The sequence below is a fragment of the Homo sapiens genome, chromosome 20 (assembly GCF_000001405.40).
Source record: "Homo sapiens chromosome 20, GRCh38.p14 Primary Assembly".
In the NCBI taxonomy this organism is placed as follows: domain Eukaryota; kingdom Metazoa; phylum Chordata; class Mammalia; order Primates; family Hominidae; genus Homo; species Homo sapiens.
Window position 1 is genome coordinate 4918353 of NC_000020.11, and position 16768 is coordinate 4935120.

The 16768-nt window shown below is 44.5% G+C and overlaps 1 protein-coding gene across 2 annotated transcripts in view, besides 1 other annotated feature; it reads right to left on the minus strand.

Moving 5' to 3' along the window:
• Window positions 1-16768, minus strand: part of SLC23A2 (solute carrier family 23 member 2) — a 157956-nt gene that overhangs the window by 65995 nt on the left and 75193 nt on the right. For both annotated transcript variants that reach the window (NM_203327.2, NM_005116.6), the window contains exon 3: window positions 14103-14364. In NM_203327.2, coding sequence (NP_976072.1) covers window positions 14103-14210 — 108 coding nt within the window. In that variant the 5' untranslated portion in view covers window positions 14211-14364. The remainder of the gene's footprint in view (window positions 1-14102; window positions 14365-16768) is intronic.
• Window positions 7851-8145: an enhancer, noted in NCBI's record as "tiled region #14391; HepG2 Activating non-DNase unmatched - State 14:Gen5', and K562 Activating non-DNase unmatched - State 24:Quies". NCBI's record gives its function as "activates a minimal TATA promoter and a strong SV40 promoter by Sharpr-MPRA in HepG2 and K562 cells {active_cell/tissue: HepG2 | K562}" and the evidence as "EXISTENCE:reporter gene assay evidence [ECO:0000049][PMID:27701403]".

Below are 16768 nucleotides of genomic sequence, written 5' to 3' on the forward strand. Positions count from 1 at the left end.
TGTACAATCAATCAGCTATGAAAGGAGGTTTTCTCTGCCTAACCAGATGATTTTGTCTCCAATATGCAATTGCATTTGCATTGTATTTACTGAGCAACGGACACATTTCCACACTCAAAGTCAAGTCTTACACTTGTCTTTTTGCTTGTGTTTTATTTTTACTAAGCTAAGACAATGGTATTAAAGTACTTATTTCTAAACAGTTCTCCTGAGATGGTCAGAGGTGTAGGAAGCAGGAGTGACAGAAGTCATTGCCTAGAGGTGTCAGTATCACAGCAGTGCCAGGCGAAACTGACAGCTGTGTGTGCCCACATTTCTCAAGCAGAAGTGACAGTGCATGTGCTGCTTCGTGACACCTGTCAAGCGGAGGGCACTAGCACCTGCAAAACCCCACACCTCCAATGAGAGTGTTCAGAACTCAATTTCCCACTTACTATATCGTGTCTGGCCGCTAAGAGAACCACTTTATACTAAACCAATCGCTTTCAGAATAGTAATAAAGTTCCCCAAATTTCTGCTTTCTATTCTTTTAAAAGAAAGGTAACACACAGTTATTAATCCCCCTCCTCAATGTGTGCACACACCGTTATTTCCTCTTGTATCCAAATCTACTCCACAATTAAAATGTGTTTTGAATACAGAAGATAATAGATTCGTGTTTCCCAGCCTTTACTGCAAGCTCCTTTACTATGAACATGAAAACTTTCCACCTACTTTCAATATTATTAGAAATTTCAAAATTAACCACTATGAAAAATAAATTCAAGTGAGTACAGTACAACATATTCTAAACACCCAAAGCTTGTCAATCTAGATTACATCATCTCAAAAAGATGCAGCAGCCGATAGATCTAACATGACACTAGCGACCTTGAATCTGGCTGATGCCGCAAAGCCTCTAATTTTGCTTTCACTGCCTCTTCCCACAGGATGGCTCCTGTAACTCCCCAGTGCAGGTGATGCTGCTGGATGGCTCAGCCTCCACCACTCGCCTGGCCCAGCCTGGTCTTCTTAGGGCTGCCTTCTCCAGAAGGCTAAGGCTGTGGCAGCCAGAAGCACCCCGGGGATTCCAGCTGCATCTCACCTGTCCCCCAGTAGGGCGACAAGAGGAGCCAGAAGGAGCCTTACCTCTCCCCATGCCGGCCCACAGCAGAGCTCGGGCGGGTGATGTGTCTGCCAAGGTCCACACTGAAACACTCTGCAGTGTGTGCTCCTCCCACACCCCAGGCAGGTGGTGCTGGTGACTGCTACTGTCTGCCTGGCACATATTCATGCCTGGCACTAGGTTGGGCACTTCAAACATCTTCCCTGCTAGGTGAGGTTTCTAAGAGATGTCCCTGGGGATCCTGTCCCCAGATGGATTCAAGAACAGATCCTGAGGCCACGCAGCACATTACAGCACTCCACCCAAAACGGACCGTCCTCTCCCATTCTTTCCAGGTGCTAACACATTACAGATAACAAACCCATGTCTCTAAAATGTAAATATGGAAGGGACACAAACCCAACAAGAAAAGGGCTAACATCCCAACAGGAAAATAACTAAGGAAATAAACATGCTTCTTGAACAGTAAAAAGATGCTCAACCTTACTCATAAGAAGATATACATTAAAACTATGATGAGAGGCCGGGTGCGGTGGCTCACGCCTGTAATCCCAGCACTCTGGGAGGCCAAGACGGGTGGATCACTTGAGGTCAGGAGTTCGAGACCAGCCTGGCCAACATGGTGAAACCCCATCTCCACTAAAAATACAAAAGTTAGCTGGGCATGGAGGCTCGCGCCTGTAATCCTAGCTACTTGGGAGACTGAGGCAGGAGAATTGCTTGAACCTGGGAGGCAGAGGTTGCAATGAGCCGAGAACATGACACTGCACTCCAGCCTGGGCAACAGAACGAGACTCCACCAAACTATAATGAGAAACCTCTTTCTACCTACTAATCGGGACAAGAGCCCAGTCTGACCACATATTCTGCTGCCAAGCATGCAAGAAAACAGGCATTTACACATTGCTGACGAAATTCCTCAACAGAGGGCAATTTGGTGAGTAGCCCCCTCAGCTTACCAAGGCACATCCCCTCTGACTCAAAAATCTCACTCTTGGAAATCTATCCTTCAATTACACCTGAGTGAAACAACTTATGTGCCAGGTTATTCAGGGTAGTGCTATTTGTAATAGCAAAACATTAGAAACAGTCTAGATGTCTATCTGCAGTAATTAAATAAATTATGGTGTATCTATACCATGGATCACTTTGCAGTTATAAAAAACAATGAAGATAATCCTTATACACTGACACAGGTATACAGAACATCATCTGTATATCAGAAAGTGAAAAGAGCAAGAACGGAGCTACAGACACAGATCTGTAGATACAGACACTTCCTTCTACAACAAAAACTGCTCCCCCTAAACAGAGACAGAGTAAACATCCCCCTATCCTAGGGCTATCAGTAATGACAGGCACAGATCTGGCTGGTGGTGCGGCTGGTTCTCCCTCTATTCCCTCAAAGTGCTATCAGATCCAGGGATCTTCTCTGTAATTGTTCTGTATGATGCAGTATCTTTGATCACCAGTATTACTCCGCAGGAATAAAGGGGCTAGGGAGAAGAATAGGCACAATGAAAGAATATAAATGGCCAAGGAATGCTGGCAGAAGTGTTTGGCTTCACTGAAACTCAAAATTAAAGCAATCAGATACAATAAGGTCAATATAAACTAGGCTGTTATTTATTATAGCAAAGCATTAGAAACAATCCAAAGTCCCAATGCAAGTGGAAAAGTTAGATCCATGATTTGCTATATGTCACAATTACAAGTTCTGTTTCTAATAACATTGAGATGCCACGATATGATACAAAGTTAAAGTCTTCATAAAGCAGATTGTGTGTTGATGAGAATTTTATAAAAGAACACTCAAATACTTGTCTTAAATCTCTGGAAAGAAATACATCAAGGCTGGGCACAGTGGCTCATGCCTGTAATCTCAGCACTTTGGGAGACCAATCACTTGAGCTCAGAAATTCGAGACCAGCCTAGGCAACATGGCAAAACCCCATTCCTACTAAAAACAACAATAACAACTAGCTGGGCGTGGTGGTGCATGCCTGTAGTCCCAGCTACCCAAGAGGCTGAAGTGGGAGGATCACTTGAGCCCAGGAGGTCAAGGCTGCAGGAAGCTATGATCATGTCACTGCACTCCAGCCTGGGTGACAGAGTGAGACCCTGTCTCAAACAACAATCACAACCAAAAAAAAAAAAAAAAGAAATACACCCAAAATATCAGTAAAATATTTTCTGTTACTACCAAAATAACAGAAAGTGGTGTTTTTCTGGCTAGTGAGATTTTAAATTATTTGTTTTCCTCATTTTACCATTCTGCATTTTCTGCAGTGAACTTATTTCTCTTGTAAATGAAGAAAGTTACACAAATAATGAAAAAGGGACAGAAAATACACATATGAGAACTACAAAAAAGAGGCAGAAGAACATATCAGCATTCTTGCTTCTTCCATTTCACCCCAACAATGTAGTTTGTACCGTAAAACCTAGGGAGAACTATGGATGCTTAAAAACATCCATTTTAAGGGCAATTTAAGAGGGTGGGGAATGTGACAACTGAGTGATTACTGCCTCGAAACCTCCAATATCATATCTTCCTCCTCAAGTACTTTATCAAATCCTAGCAAGAATGAACTTTTTCTCCAATAGAATTATGGGCTTAGATTATGGTAAAGAAATCAATCTGAAATATTTTATCTCTAATCATTAAAACTAAGAAGCCTGCCTACCTAGCTTAGGCAAATAAAAGTTAGTGGGGGTGGGGATTAGGAATTTAGAAGTGGGGATTCACCTAGAAGAAAGGAAATCTGAAGTAGTCCTGGAAGTGCAAAAGGCACAGGCAGGAATAGCAATCAGGGGTCAGAAGAGACCAAGGCTGTGGGGCAGGGAGATCACACAGAGGTTGTCACGATGATCCCAGGAAGAACTGATGCTGACCCACAGAAAGCGGAGACAGCAGGATGAAGGCAGGGGGATCACATGGGGTAGGAAAGGAAGGAAGCTTGTCAACTACTTCTGATGCATTCCTGTCACAGCATTTAGCAAGAGCAGAACAAACAAGAGGTCCTCTAAGGCCTTTTCCATGACCAAGATTCCATAAACCTGACCTCACAGAAATTAAGAGGTGAGAGGCCGGGCACAGTGGCTCACGCCTTTATCCCAGCACTTTGGGAGGCCGAGGCAGGAGGATCACTTGAGGTCAGAAGTTTGAGACCATCCTGGCCAACATGGTAAAATCCAGTCTCTACCAAAAAATACGAAAATTAGCTGGGCATGGTCGTGCATGCCTGTAGTCCCAGCTAGCTACTTGGGAGGCTGAGGCACAAGAACTGCTTGAACCCGGGAGGCAGAGGCTGCAGTGAGCCAAGATCACGCCACTGCACTCCAGCCTGGGTGACAGCAAGACCGTGTCTTTAAAAAAAAAAAAGCACACACACACACACACACAAGTAAGAGATGGCCAGAATGCTGATCAACTTCGTAAGCCTGCTATAGTAAGAGACTGTAGCAAGAACCTCTTACTATTTTCATTCGTAACAAATTGTGTGTCTCCCAACTATTAGATGTGTACTTTGTATTACTAACATCTCTCATTTCATTTAAAACTACCAAAACTCTGTTCAAATTAAAAGTATATTGCAATATGATAAACTTATCTGAAACCTCAAAACCAGAGGAAAAAAAATTAATTTTTAAGTTAAAAATCTAGGACTGGGTGTGGTGGCTTATGCCTGTAATCCCAGCACTTTGGGAGGCCAAGGTGGGAAGACTGCTTGAGCCCAGGAGTTCGAGACCAGCCTGGGCAATGTAGCGAGACCCCATCTTGAAGGGAGGGAGGCAGGGAGGGAGGGAGGGAGGGAGGGAGGATGGATAAGGAAAAGAACATCTTACCATGCACAAAAATCTTCACTTGCATCCCATCGTTTTGATGTTTTCATTTCAAAGCATATATTGGCATATTCCTTTTCTAACACTTTTTCCCCCCAACTTACAAATTTTAAAACAGAAAAGGGTGCTCATCTTGGTTGTTCCACTTCAAGCTGTTAAGGGCATCCCCTGCCTAAATCATGGCCATTATGCAGTATATTAAAACTCTCATCTTACAGAAATAGGAGAATTAAACCAATTCCCTGGGCCGACTCCAGGAAACAGTCTCTCTTCATCCTCAGGCCCTTCTTGGAATCATAGTCAATTCCAAAATCTATTATTCTTACAGAAAGAACATTTTCCCAGACAACTATTATTACCATCCAACTGAGACTTTTCGTTTTAAGATCTAAGTACTCCAAACTCTCTATTTAGGGATGTACAAAAAGGAACTTCACAGCACCTGGTACGAAAGTCACAAGAACAAGGACATGTTCTGGGCTTCTTTGCTTGGTTTTTAGAATGAAGGTAGTTGCACCAAAAAGCCTTTTTGCCTTCTTTTCACTGCTGAAAAGGGGCATGTTCAAATCTGTCATCACATAGTCAGGGGTTTAGAGGAACTGAAGCAGCCATTAAATGGTTTCTTCACTGTACCTCCCTACATCTTTCTGCCAAGGCCACTTGTCTTAAAGAAGGGATGGGAAGGAAACAGAAAAGGAAAGAAAGGAGCATGGGTCCCTGATCCTGGTGGCTGCCCTCCTCCCCTCCGCTCTGGGGCATCCTCACATCCCTGCATCCTTGCACAGCACAGCTCTGAGCCGCATCGCCACTCTGTCCTGCTCACCTCCTGCCTGCTAGGCACACCCATCAGGACACAGCCCCACAGGCCCCAGGTCTCCTCCTGAAGCTCCTTCCAGGAGTCTCTTCCAGGACAGCAACTTGCCCCTTCTTTTCAAAGCTCTCGGCCACACCTCCAGCCAACCCTTCCTCCACTGTGGCTCCTCCCCGTCCTCCCTCTGGAGTCAGAGTTTCTCCTGACATACTTTTCAACGCCTGGAATGGGTGTCTCTTTCTGAAGGGACTTGCCCCCACCCTCATCCAGCCCAAAAGCACAGAAACTAGGTCTGCTCCAGAGCCTGGTGGCTTCTCCCACCTCCACATGGCAAGCACCCAGGATGCAGCTGCTGTCAGCACACCTGTCCTAGGGCCACCAGCTCCTGCCTGGCCTCCTGCTTTTCCTTTCAGCCTACTCCCCACTAGGCAGAGCATGTCACATCTCTGCTCAAAGGCCTCCAAAGGTTTTTTTCAGGCCAACACCCTGGTGAGGCCCACAAGACCTATGGAATCTCTGGTCAATGCCCATCCTGGTGGAGCAACACCAGGCACCCCCCTGCTGTGGGGCCTTTGCCCTTGAGGCCCACATGCAGGCTTCCCACAACTCCTCCAGGACTTTACTCAAAGGCCGCCTTCTTGGTGCAGCCTTTCCTGGCCGCCTGAATTTTCAGCATCCATACCTCTACCTTATTTTTTTCCCTAGTGTTTGTCAATATCTAACATCTACACATTTGACTTATTTCTATTGTGGATTGCCTGTCTCCCACACCAGAATGAAAGCCCTGTGGCCAGGCAAAGTGGCTCCCACCTGTAATCCCAGCACTTTGGGAGGCTGAGGCAGAAGGATTGCTTGAGCTCAGGAGTTTGAGATCAGTGACATAGTTAAGACCTTGTCTCTACAAAAAAAAAAAATTAAAAATCAGCTGAGCACAGTGGCATGTGCCATATTTCAGCTACTCAGGAGGCTGAGGTGGGAGGATGGCTTAAACCCAGGAGGTTGAGGCTGCAGTGAGCCATGATGATGACACTGCACTTCAGCCTGAATGATAGAGCAAGACTCTGTCAAAAAAAAAAAAAAAAAGGATGGAAACTCATGGATTTTTGTCTGTCTGTTCATTGCTGTTCTCTAGAGCCCAGACCTGTGAGTGGCACACAGTTCCTATTTTTAAAAGGACAAATTAATGAATGGCTTGCAGGTCCTGTATGATCACTGTCTGACCTCACATTCTATTTCTCACTATTCCCCTCCCTGATTTATTTTTCTTCACAGAATTAGTGACCAGCTGCCACAAGATTGACGTATTTGCTTGTTTCTTTACTGTTTTTCTCCTCCCACCATCACTAGGAGGCCAATTCCAGGACAGAGCCTCACGCAAAGCAGGTGCCCAATAACCATCTGCTGAATGGAAGAATTCCTTTCCTCCGCACTTTCCAGGTCAGGTCACTGTCGGCTCACACCTGGACTGCGTAAGCACCCTAACTTGCCTTCCTATCTCCAGACCCTTCCTGCCCCGGCACCCACCGCAGGAATTTCCTACCCCAAAACGAGCAAATTTACTATGACCTCTCCTCAGCATCCCTGCTGCTCATCTCCACCTCCACTGTACTCTGCACTAAACTTGCGCCCCAAGCAGGACACTGCCATGCACACCCTCAGCTGAGAGGCCTTCAGTCTCCCTCCTCTTGACCTACTATACCTAGACATTTTTTAGGAGTTCCATGTTATCTCCCCTGGGAACCTTCATCTGACCGGCAAGGCCCACCCTACAACACGACTGGGCAAGGGTCTCACGTGGACACTATCACAGCACCCGTGCAGAATTCAAACCCTAACACTGATGGTATGCTGGCTGTCTTGCCATATGTCCCCCACTGGGCTGTAAGCAGCTGGTTACCAGGTATGTGCACCAGACACATTTAATCAATGGAGGAACGTGAGGCTGTGGGCTCTTCCCATTACATGTTCTGAAGAACACACACCAAGGTAAGATGAGAAGTGGTCGGTTCTTATGAACACCCAGGAGTATTTCTCCCACTCTCTGGTAAGACTAAACCTCATAAAGTTACTCGTCGGTCCATGCCGCTAATATCTCCAGACAGAATAATCTACTCTTGATACCCAAATATTCTCACAAAGGCTGTTAAAAGAAATAAAAGCTTAAGGAAGCTTAAACGCTTTCCCTGACTCTGAATGATGACGCACTGAAACAACAGGCTGTGTGTGTCACAGCCGTGCCTGTGCCAACAGGAAGTTTGGGCTGTTAACTGGGCTTCCAGGTTTAGGTGGTCCAAGAACTGCTGAGCAAACACACAGCCTTTTTCTGGCCGTGCTTCCTGTCTGTACTTTGGGATCAATGTCCCTAGGGTACGATCGTTCATCAGAATTTTTTTTGCTTTTTTTTTTTTTTTTTTTTTCCTGATTCCTGTTTCTTGCCATGGGCATTCACCCCTATTTACGCATTTCCTAGCTGGCTTTAAAACATAAGAATTTGCCTAACTAGAGTCCTGTGGGATAAGAAGAAGATCTTTTGCTATGTTCCCCCTATTTGATATCAACTCTGACCACATGATCTAATTTCCATGAGTCCTGGGGCCTGGCACATCTCTTGTTCTTACTTTGACCTAGTGGACATTCTACTTCTAAGTATGGATTTGTTCTTTTTCTTTGTAAAATGTTTGTGTGGGTGTTTTGTTTTATTTTGTTTAAAGATCTGGGAAGCACTCATCCAACACAGGATGCCTAAGAGAATCTCTAAAGATAAGATCCTTATCAGCCACACACCCCACCTCCCTTTCCAGGAGACACCCCACAAGCCTGGTTCTCAGCAACGGCCAGATTTGGTTACTGGTGCCCAACCACGCTGCACTCCAGCACACCTTTCTCTAGATGCCTTAACAGCTGACAGCCTAAAGCCCAGCTTTGGATTCTGAGGCAAATGAGAAAATAAGAGCCAACATTTCAGCCTCGCAAGGCCCTAACCAGCAAGCAGAGATGGGCTAGCCACTAGCCACGTGTGGCTATGGAGTACTTGACGAGTGCAACTAACGAAGTGAATTTCAGGTTTTATTGAATAGTATTTAATTTAAATGTAAACGTCACATGTGACTAGCAGCCATGATGCTGGACAGTACAGATCCAGACAAAAAGATAAAACCCAGAGCTGCCATGCTGGCTATTCTTCAATATTTACATTTGCAAAGGCCAGAATGAAACAAGGCACTAGCATGCAGCAATGTCCTGGCATGATCCTCCCTGTCACTCATGTGTGGGTATACCCAACGGTGAGACCCTCAACCCTATCTTCCTCTGCCAGCTCTGCCTGCCAGCAGCACCCTCTCACACGGGTCAGTCACCACCCACATGAGCCATCACAGTGAGTCTTTACAGCTCTCCTGATCTCTATGTGTGTCAAGTCCCACACCCCCACTGCCTGCAGGCTCTAGGAGCACCGCAGTTCAAATCCACAACTTCTCAAATAAAACCCATCATCTTCCATCTTCCCCACCCTCCAAACTTATGGTTTTCCCTAGACTTCATATTTTCTCCAAAGCCAACATATACCCAATCAGGTTCTTCTGTATAAAATCTTGATGAGAATCCGAAACATCTCCTTCTTTGGCCCTCAAAACCTCCTATCACCTCTTCTATCAGCCTCACCTCTGTTCTTACTATTCCCATGCCTTTGGTATCTCCCAGACCCACCAATTCTTCCTGTGCTACCCCACTGCCCCTGCCTCCAACCAGCTGCCCCCACACTAATCCCATCCATCAGGCAATGGGAAGCGACCCACTGTAACTTAGTCCCCTCACTTTTTCCCTGTCAATGGGCAAATCATTCAAAATGGTCTTCTACTTTAAAAGTTGACTTAGGGTAGCAATTTCACTAGTGATTAAATACGGGCAGTACTGTGTTCCTGTTCTTATTTTATATATATTTTGGAGACAGGGTCTTGCTCTGTCACCAAGGATGGCATGCAATGACACAACTGCTAACTCACTGCAGCCTCAAACCTCTGGGCTCAAAGAATCCTCCCATCTCAGTCTCCCAAGTAGGTAGGACTACAGGCATGCACCACCACGTCCAGCTAATTTTTAAATTTTTGGTATGAATGAGGGTCTCGCTATGTTGCCATGGCTGGTCTTGAACTCCTGGCTGCAAGTGATCCTCCCACCTTGGCCTCCCAGAGTGCTGAGATTACAGGCCTGAGCATCCGCACCCAGCCTATAACATGTTTTCTAACAAAACTATCCACAACCCAAAACTCCATCCCACAAACTATTCCTTTGTAAACATTCTTTGATGAGGTTTTGTTTTCGTGTTTTCCTTCTTTTATGTAATCTACTTTATCTTGAGCTTTGGGAGTTCAGACTAAGGTTCATCTTGGCATCCCTGACACCAAATCATCCTGGGAGCTCATGTTTGGACTCTCTGCCATCTCTATCCTTGGCATTTCTCCCCTCCCAGCAGCTCCATCCCATGATTCCAGCTCTATTCCTACTCTTTGTAGTTCAATTTAGCATAATTTTAAAAACTATTTTCTTCCCCTTTTAAGGCTTCCTTTTATAGCCCTAGACTGGGATAAAAATTCCATAACATCCTTAATTAAATGGCTCTACTGTTAAATCAACTTTATAATTAACATCATATTTACACCCAACTATGGCTTACGTCCACATTCCCAGCTCCCATGCTCTCACAGGGACTCCTACTTAGGTTGGATCTGGAAATTAATGCTGTGAGCAGTATTCCTTCCCAACCCTGCCCTAAAAAATGTAACAGGGATAGAGGGAAAAACCTCAAAATAGGCAAGCTTAAAAAGACAAACATTTCCGTACGCAAGAAACATGTATGGGCTGGGCACGGTGGCTCACGCCTGTAATCCCAACACTTTGGGAGGCTGAGACAGGTGGGTCACTTGATCTCAGGAGTTCCAGACTAGCCTGGCAACATGCAGAAATGCCATCTCTAAATTTAAAAAATATATATATACACAAAAATGTAGCCAGGCCCAGTAGCACGTACCTGCAGTCCTAACTACTCAGGAGGCTGAGGTGGGAGGATCACCTGAGCCAAGGAGGTCGAGACTGCAGTGAGCTGTGATTGCTCCACTGCACTCCAGCCTGGGCAACAGAATGAGACCCTGTGTAAAAAAAAAAAGAAAAGAAAAAGAAAAAAAAAACACTTATGGAAAAAAATGGGGCTGACACTGGGACCTGCTGGGCTGAGCCTGGAAGCCCTAAGCCAGGCAGCCTCGGCTCCAGCAGGGGAACAAGGTGGGGGCTGAACCAGGCCAGGCAGGCTTCCCCACTCTTCCATGCCATGGTTGGCAACCCTGGGGAAGACAACGAGGGCTCCACCCTAGGGTCTGCCTCTGGACTGGATCCATAATGAGAAGACACAAACCCCACAGAAGCACAGAGAAAGAGATGAAATTCCTGGAAGATTCCAGATGGAAAGAGAACTAGGGAGGGACTTCATATAGTATATCAGGGTTCCCAATGATTTAAATGAAGTCACATTTAAAAGAAACACATATATATAAGAAATTAAGGACCAAAAATAGGCAGAAGTTAACCAAATAAAAATTTTAGAAGAAGTATAATTATTGCAATAAGAATTCAACACAAATACATGACTGTATACAAAAAATAAGTAAACCGGAAAATACTGAAGGACTCATCCAGAAGGCAGTGCTGGAAGAGGATACCCAAATCATTAGAGAAAGCAGCTAAAGAGAAATGAGGACAGGCTGGAAGGCTGGGCCGTATCATTCACAGAAGTCTGTGTAATAGTGGAGGGCAAACTACAATTATTTCCAGATGTAGAAAGACTAAGATGGTGACCATCCACAGACCATCAGTGTATCTTAAATGAAAAGCAAACTAAGAGGGAAGAAGAAGAACGCAAAAAATAACAAGGAATGAGGAAGCTGACAACATACAATGATGAATTCAACTGCTAACGATAAAATACTACAAGTTTAACCTAGAATAAGTAAATCTTAAATTCTGGACCATAATGACAAGGCAGGTGGTTGAGACATGTTCAAGTTCTTGTCCCGAAAGTGAAGGGAAGTGAGAGTGAATCATCTCCTGGGCTGTAAGATAAAATAAAGCCACCAAAGAGATGAGGCAACCCCCATGCATGAAACCTTCCCATTCACTCTTCAAGTTCATCTAATTTAATCTTGAACAACTGGACTGATGCCTCTTCCCCTAGAAAATCTGTGTCAACCTTAAGCTTTCAACAGTGAAGAAAATCCAGTTTCAAAATTTTTCATTATAGGAAAAAAGAAAATGGTAATGCCAGTTGTAAAATTAGTTAAACAGCTCTCTGAGAATTAATACAATTTAAAAAAATAAACGAATAAAGTGTGAACGAAAGCAGTCAATCAATGTACTTAAAAAATGCCATGTTCAGCTGGGCACAGTGGCTCACACCTGTAATCCCAGCATTTTGGGAGGCCAAGGCAGGTGGATCACCTGAGGTCAGGAGTTCGAGACCAGCCTGGCCAATATGGCAAAACCCCATCTCTACTAAAAATACAAAAATTAGCTGGGCGTGGTGGCACATGCCTGTAGTCCCAGCTACTCGGGAGGCTGAGGCGGGAGAATCGCTTGAACTTGGGAGGCAGAGGTTGCAGTGAGCCAAGATGGTGCCACTGCACTCCAGCATGGGTGACAGAGCAAGACGGTCTCAAAAAAAAAAGATGCCATGTTCAAGTTAGGGTTGGTGGCATGCATCCATAATACCAACTACTCAAGAGTCTAAGTCAGTTGGCTTGAGCCCTGGAATTCAAAGCTCCATTATGATTGTACGACTGCCCTCCAGCATAGGCAAGAGTGAGACTCAGTCTATTTTTTTTTTTTTAAGAAAAGTTATTTTCTTAAAATAACTTTTATTTTTTTCTTAAAATATATTTTTCTTAAAATAACTGTTATTTTTTTAAGAAAAAAAAAAAAAAAAAAAAAAAAGAATCCTCCAAGGCCGGAGGATTGCTTGAGCTCAAGCTCTCAAGTTCAAAACCAGCCTGGGCAACATAAGGAGACCCTGTCTCTACAAAAGTAATAAAAAATATTAGCTGAGCATGGTGGCAGGCATCTGTGATCCCAGCTACTTGGGAGGCTGTGGTGGGAGGACTGCCTGAGCCCAGGAGGTCAAGGCTACAGTGAGTCTTAATTGTGCCACTGCATTCCAACTCGGGTGACACAGTGAGACCCAGTCTTAAAAAATAATACTGACACCTCTGTAGATCCATCTACCCTCAAATGTCTTACTGTTGAGTCTCTTTATCATCAGGCTATGGGGCATGCCAACAGTTTCAGATGCAACATTGATAATAATAACTAATCTTGAAACCAGGTGTGGTGGCTCATGCTTATAATCCCAGTGCTTTAGGAGGCTGAGGCGAGAGCATCACTTGAGCCCTGGAGTTCAAGACCAGACTACGCAACACAGTGAGACCCCATCTCTACAAAAAGTAGAAAAAATTAGCCAGCTGTGGTAGACTACAGGCTGCACACACCTATAGTCCCAGCTACTCGGGAGACTGAGATGGGAAGATAGTTCAAGCCTGGGAAGTCAAGGCTGCAGTGAGCTTTAAGGGTGCCACTGCACTCCAGCCTGGGCAACAGAGCGAGGCCTTGTCTCAAAAAAAAGAAAAAAGGAAAGAAAAAAATCCTAGAATACTATTCTTGCCATTAACCACATCTCCAGTATTAAGAGGAAAACATCTTGAGGCAAGACCTCTCTAAAGAGCATTTTTCTGTTTTTAAACCAACACATTATAGGTAACTTTATACAAATCAAGTCATCGTCCTACATCTGGGAAAAAAATGTTCTTACTGAATATAAATGAATGTGTGTAATCAGCCTTATCTGACTGCTATCACTTATTTGGATAAAACTACCTCTACGCTGGACACTGCTGCCATAATACATATGGACAGTGGGGTTCCAAGCAGTAAGTCATTCATCCTCCCAGCTTGCAATATGAGTGTGATGTTGGGTTGCACATTATTTCCTAAGAGTACACCTTTTGAAGATAAAATTAAGTCTTCAACATCCTCCAGGACACAGTAAGCACTGGGCTAGATTTAAAATGTTAACAGCAATGCATACTTCCTTCCTGGAGTTAATCCCAGCAGATGACTCCAGGCTGAGAGCACAGCTAAAACCCAAGAGTTAGCCCAAAGACTATCTCACATATAAAGTATTTGGTTTGCAAATGCCTTAACCTTCACTGAAAACATGAGCATTAAAGCCAATCCTATGTTGATTCCATACGGAAACTACTTTCAAGAGATTTAAGAAAGGAAGATGGGGAATATGATTACCGGAAGAGTGAAGAAAGCTGGGTGCTTTGCCTCGTCTTCGTATTTGCCTTCTGTTGAACTTCCAGCCTCCATTGATTTGGATGTGGTATTCTTACCAATACCCATCATTAAGAGAAACGAGTAGTTTACACAGCCGTTGGGGAGAGCAGCTGGAAGTGAAGGCTTATTCAAGCTAGGAGCCCAGGATCAGCCGGCTCTTCTAGTGCCTGGAGCCCCCGATTCTCAAGCAGAGATGAGGCCTGCAAACGGCATCTCTTAGCACCTAGAAAAGAAGAGCACAGCCAAATCACCCCAAAGCATGAAAACAACACAGGCCATGCAGTCACTGAGTTTCTTGCACAGTAAAAAAGTCACACTACACATTATACCCAAGCATCCAAAAAATACTTTACCTAATTACAGTTTTCAGGCACCCAACACCTTCTTTATTTATAGTCACCTACTGATTCTGAATTGCCCACTAGAGAGGGGGACCACTAAACCAAACTATCAAAAATATCACAATACTAGGGAGAAAAAAAATAGCTAAGGTACTTCTTTGATATGCATATGGTTTATATCTCATAACCCAGCACTACCTAATAGAACTTTCTGCAATGAGGGAGATGTTATATATCTGTCCTATCCAACAGAGTCATGTGGCTACTGAGAACCTGAAATGTGCTTAGTGCAAATGAGTAACTGAATTTTAATTGTATCTAATTTAAATAGAAATTTAAGATACTTGTAGCTTGTGGCTACTATACTGGGCAATGCGGATACAGCCAATTAATCATGATTAGATGGGCATTAAAATAATTCTACATTCCCTACATGTGCCCAATTAAAAGCAGGGGAAGATACTCAAAAGCAGTAAAAAGAGGAGGTTGCCAGGCGCAGTGGCTCATACCTATACTCCCAGCACTTTGGGAAGCTAAGATTTTGGGAGATAGGTGGATCACTTGAGGTCAGGAGTTTGAGACCAGCCTGGCCAACATAGTGAAACCCCGTCTCTACTAAAAAAAAAAATAATAATAATACAAAAATCAGCCAGGAGTGGTGGTGCACGCCTGTAATCCCAGCTACTCAGGAGGCTGAGGCAGGAGAATCACTTGAACCTGGAAGGCGGAGGTTGCAGTGAGCCAAGATCGCATCACTGCACTCTAGCCCGGATGATAGAGTAAGTGAAATTCAGTCTCAAAAGAAAAAAAAAATGAGAGGGCACAGAGGATCCCTCCAAGGAATGGCATACATACAATGAAATATGCCTAGCTATGCCTGAATTTTTATAAAGAAAAAGATAATGCAAACAGGTAAGGGTGGGAAGGGCAGAGTGCATCCCCTGGTACTCCAATTAGGGTGACATCAGATCTTACCACCAATTATCTTCCCACTAGGAATAAAGAATCCAACCAAGCTGCCCTGCAAATGTGAGGACAGGACTGCAATAAGTTTGGAAATACAAGTACAGAACTTGCTGTTTGAGGAACTCTTCATGGGACACTTCATTCAATAAACACTTTGGATGAGCCAGGGGAAAAACAAAATGTAAAGAAATAAAAAAGAGAAAGAATTACACAAATTTTAGAGTTCAGAAATCAGAAGGCCAAAAAGGAAAACAAAGAAACTGCTGCCAGAACGTGAAGTTCCATGAGTGGAATACGGAGAGCTAGGTACACACATCAAATTCTTCCGGGGTGGTCGTTCTTGTTTGCATATTCATGCACATTTGCATTTTCATTCACGTACTATCCACATTCATTTAAAGCAGTGGTTCTCAATCCAGAGTAATTTTGCCCTGCAGGGGACATCTGGCAATGTCTGGAGATGTCTTTGGCCATCACAACTCGGGGAGAGCTATTAACATCTAGTAAATAGAGGCCAGGTGTGCTGCTGAACATCCTTCAATGCACAGGACAGATCCCACACCAAGATTTCAGGAGGGCTGAGATTGAGAAATCTTCATTTAAAGACACTTCCCTCCTCCCAAGGATGGCATCCCAGATGTGCCATGTTAATCCTAAGGACAAGATCAGGTCCTCCAAGGGATACACTCGGAACATGCATATAGCAGAGACAGCAAAGCCCACACAGAAGCACGTCTATGGGACTTACTCCAGCTTGGTCATTATAAAAAGAATTTTCTGGCCAGGTGTGGTAGCTCACGCCTGTAATCCCAGCAGTTTGAGAGGCTGAGGTGGGTGGATCACCTGAGGTCAGGAGTTCAAGACCAGCCTGGCCAGCACGGTGAAACCCCGTCTCTACTAAAAAATACAAAAATTAGCCAGGCGTGGTGGCAGGCGCCTGTAATCCCAGCTACTCGGGAAGCTGAGGCAGGAGGATCACTCGAACCTGGGAGCCGGACGTTGCAGTGAGCCAAGATTGCGCCATTGTACTCCAGCCTGGGCAAAAGAGTGAGACTCTGTCTAAAAAAAAAAAAAATCTTGAAACTTCTTGTCAGAAAAAAACCAAGGCTGGGCACAGTGGCTCATGCCTGTAATCCCAGCACTTTGGGAGGTGGAGGTGGGCAGATCACAAGGTCAGGAGATTGAGACCATCCTGGCTAACACAGTGAAGCCCTGTCTCTACTAAATATACAAAAAATTAGCTGGGCGTGGTGGCGGGCACCTGTAGTCCCAGCTATTTGGGAGGCTGAGGCAGGAGAATGGCGTGAACCCAGGAGGCGG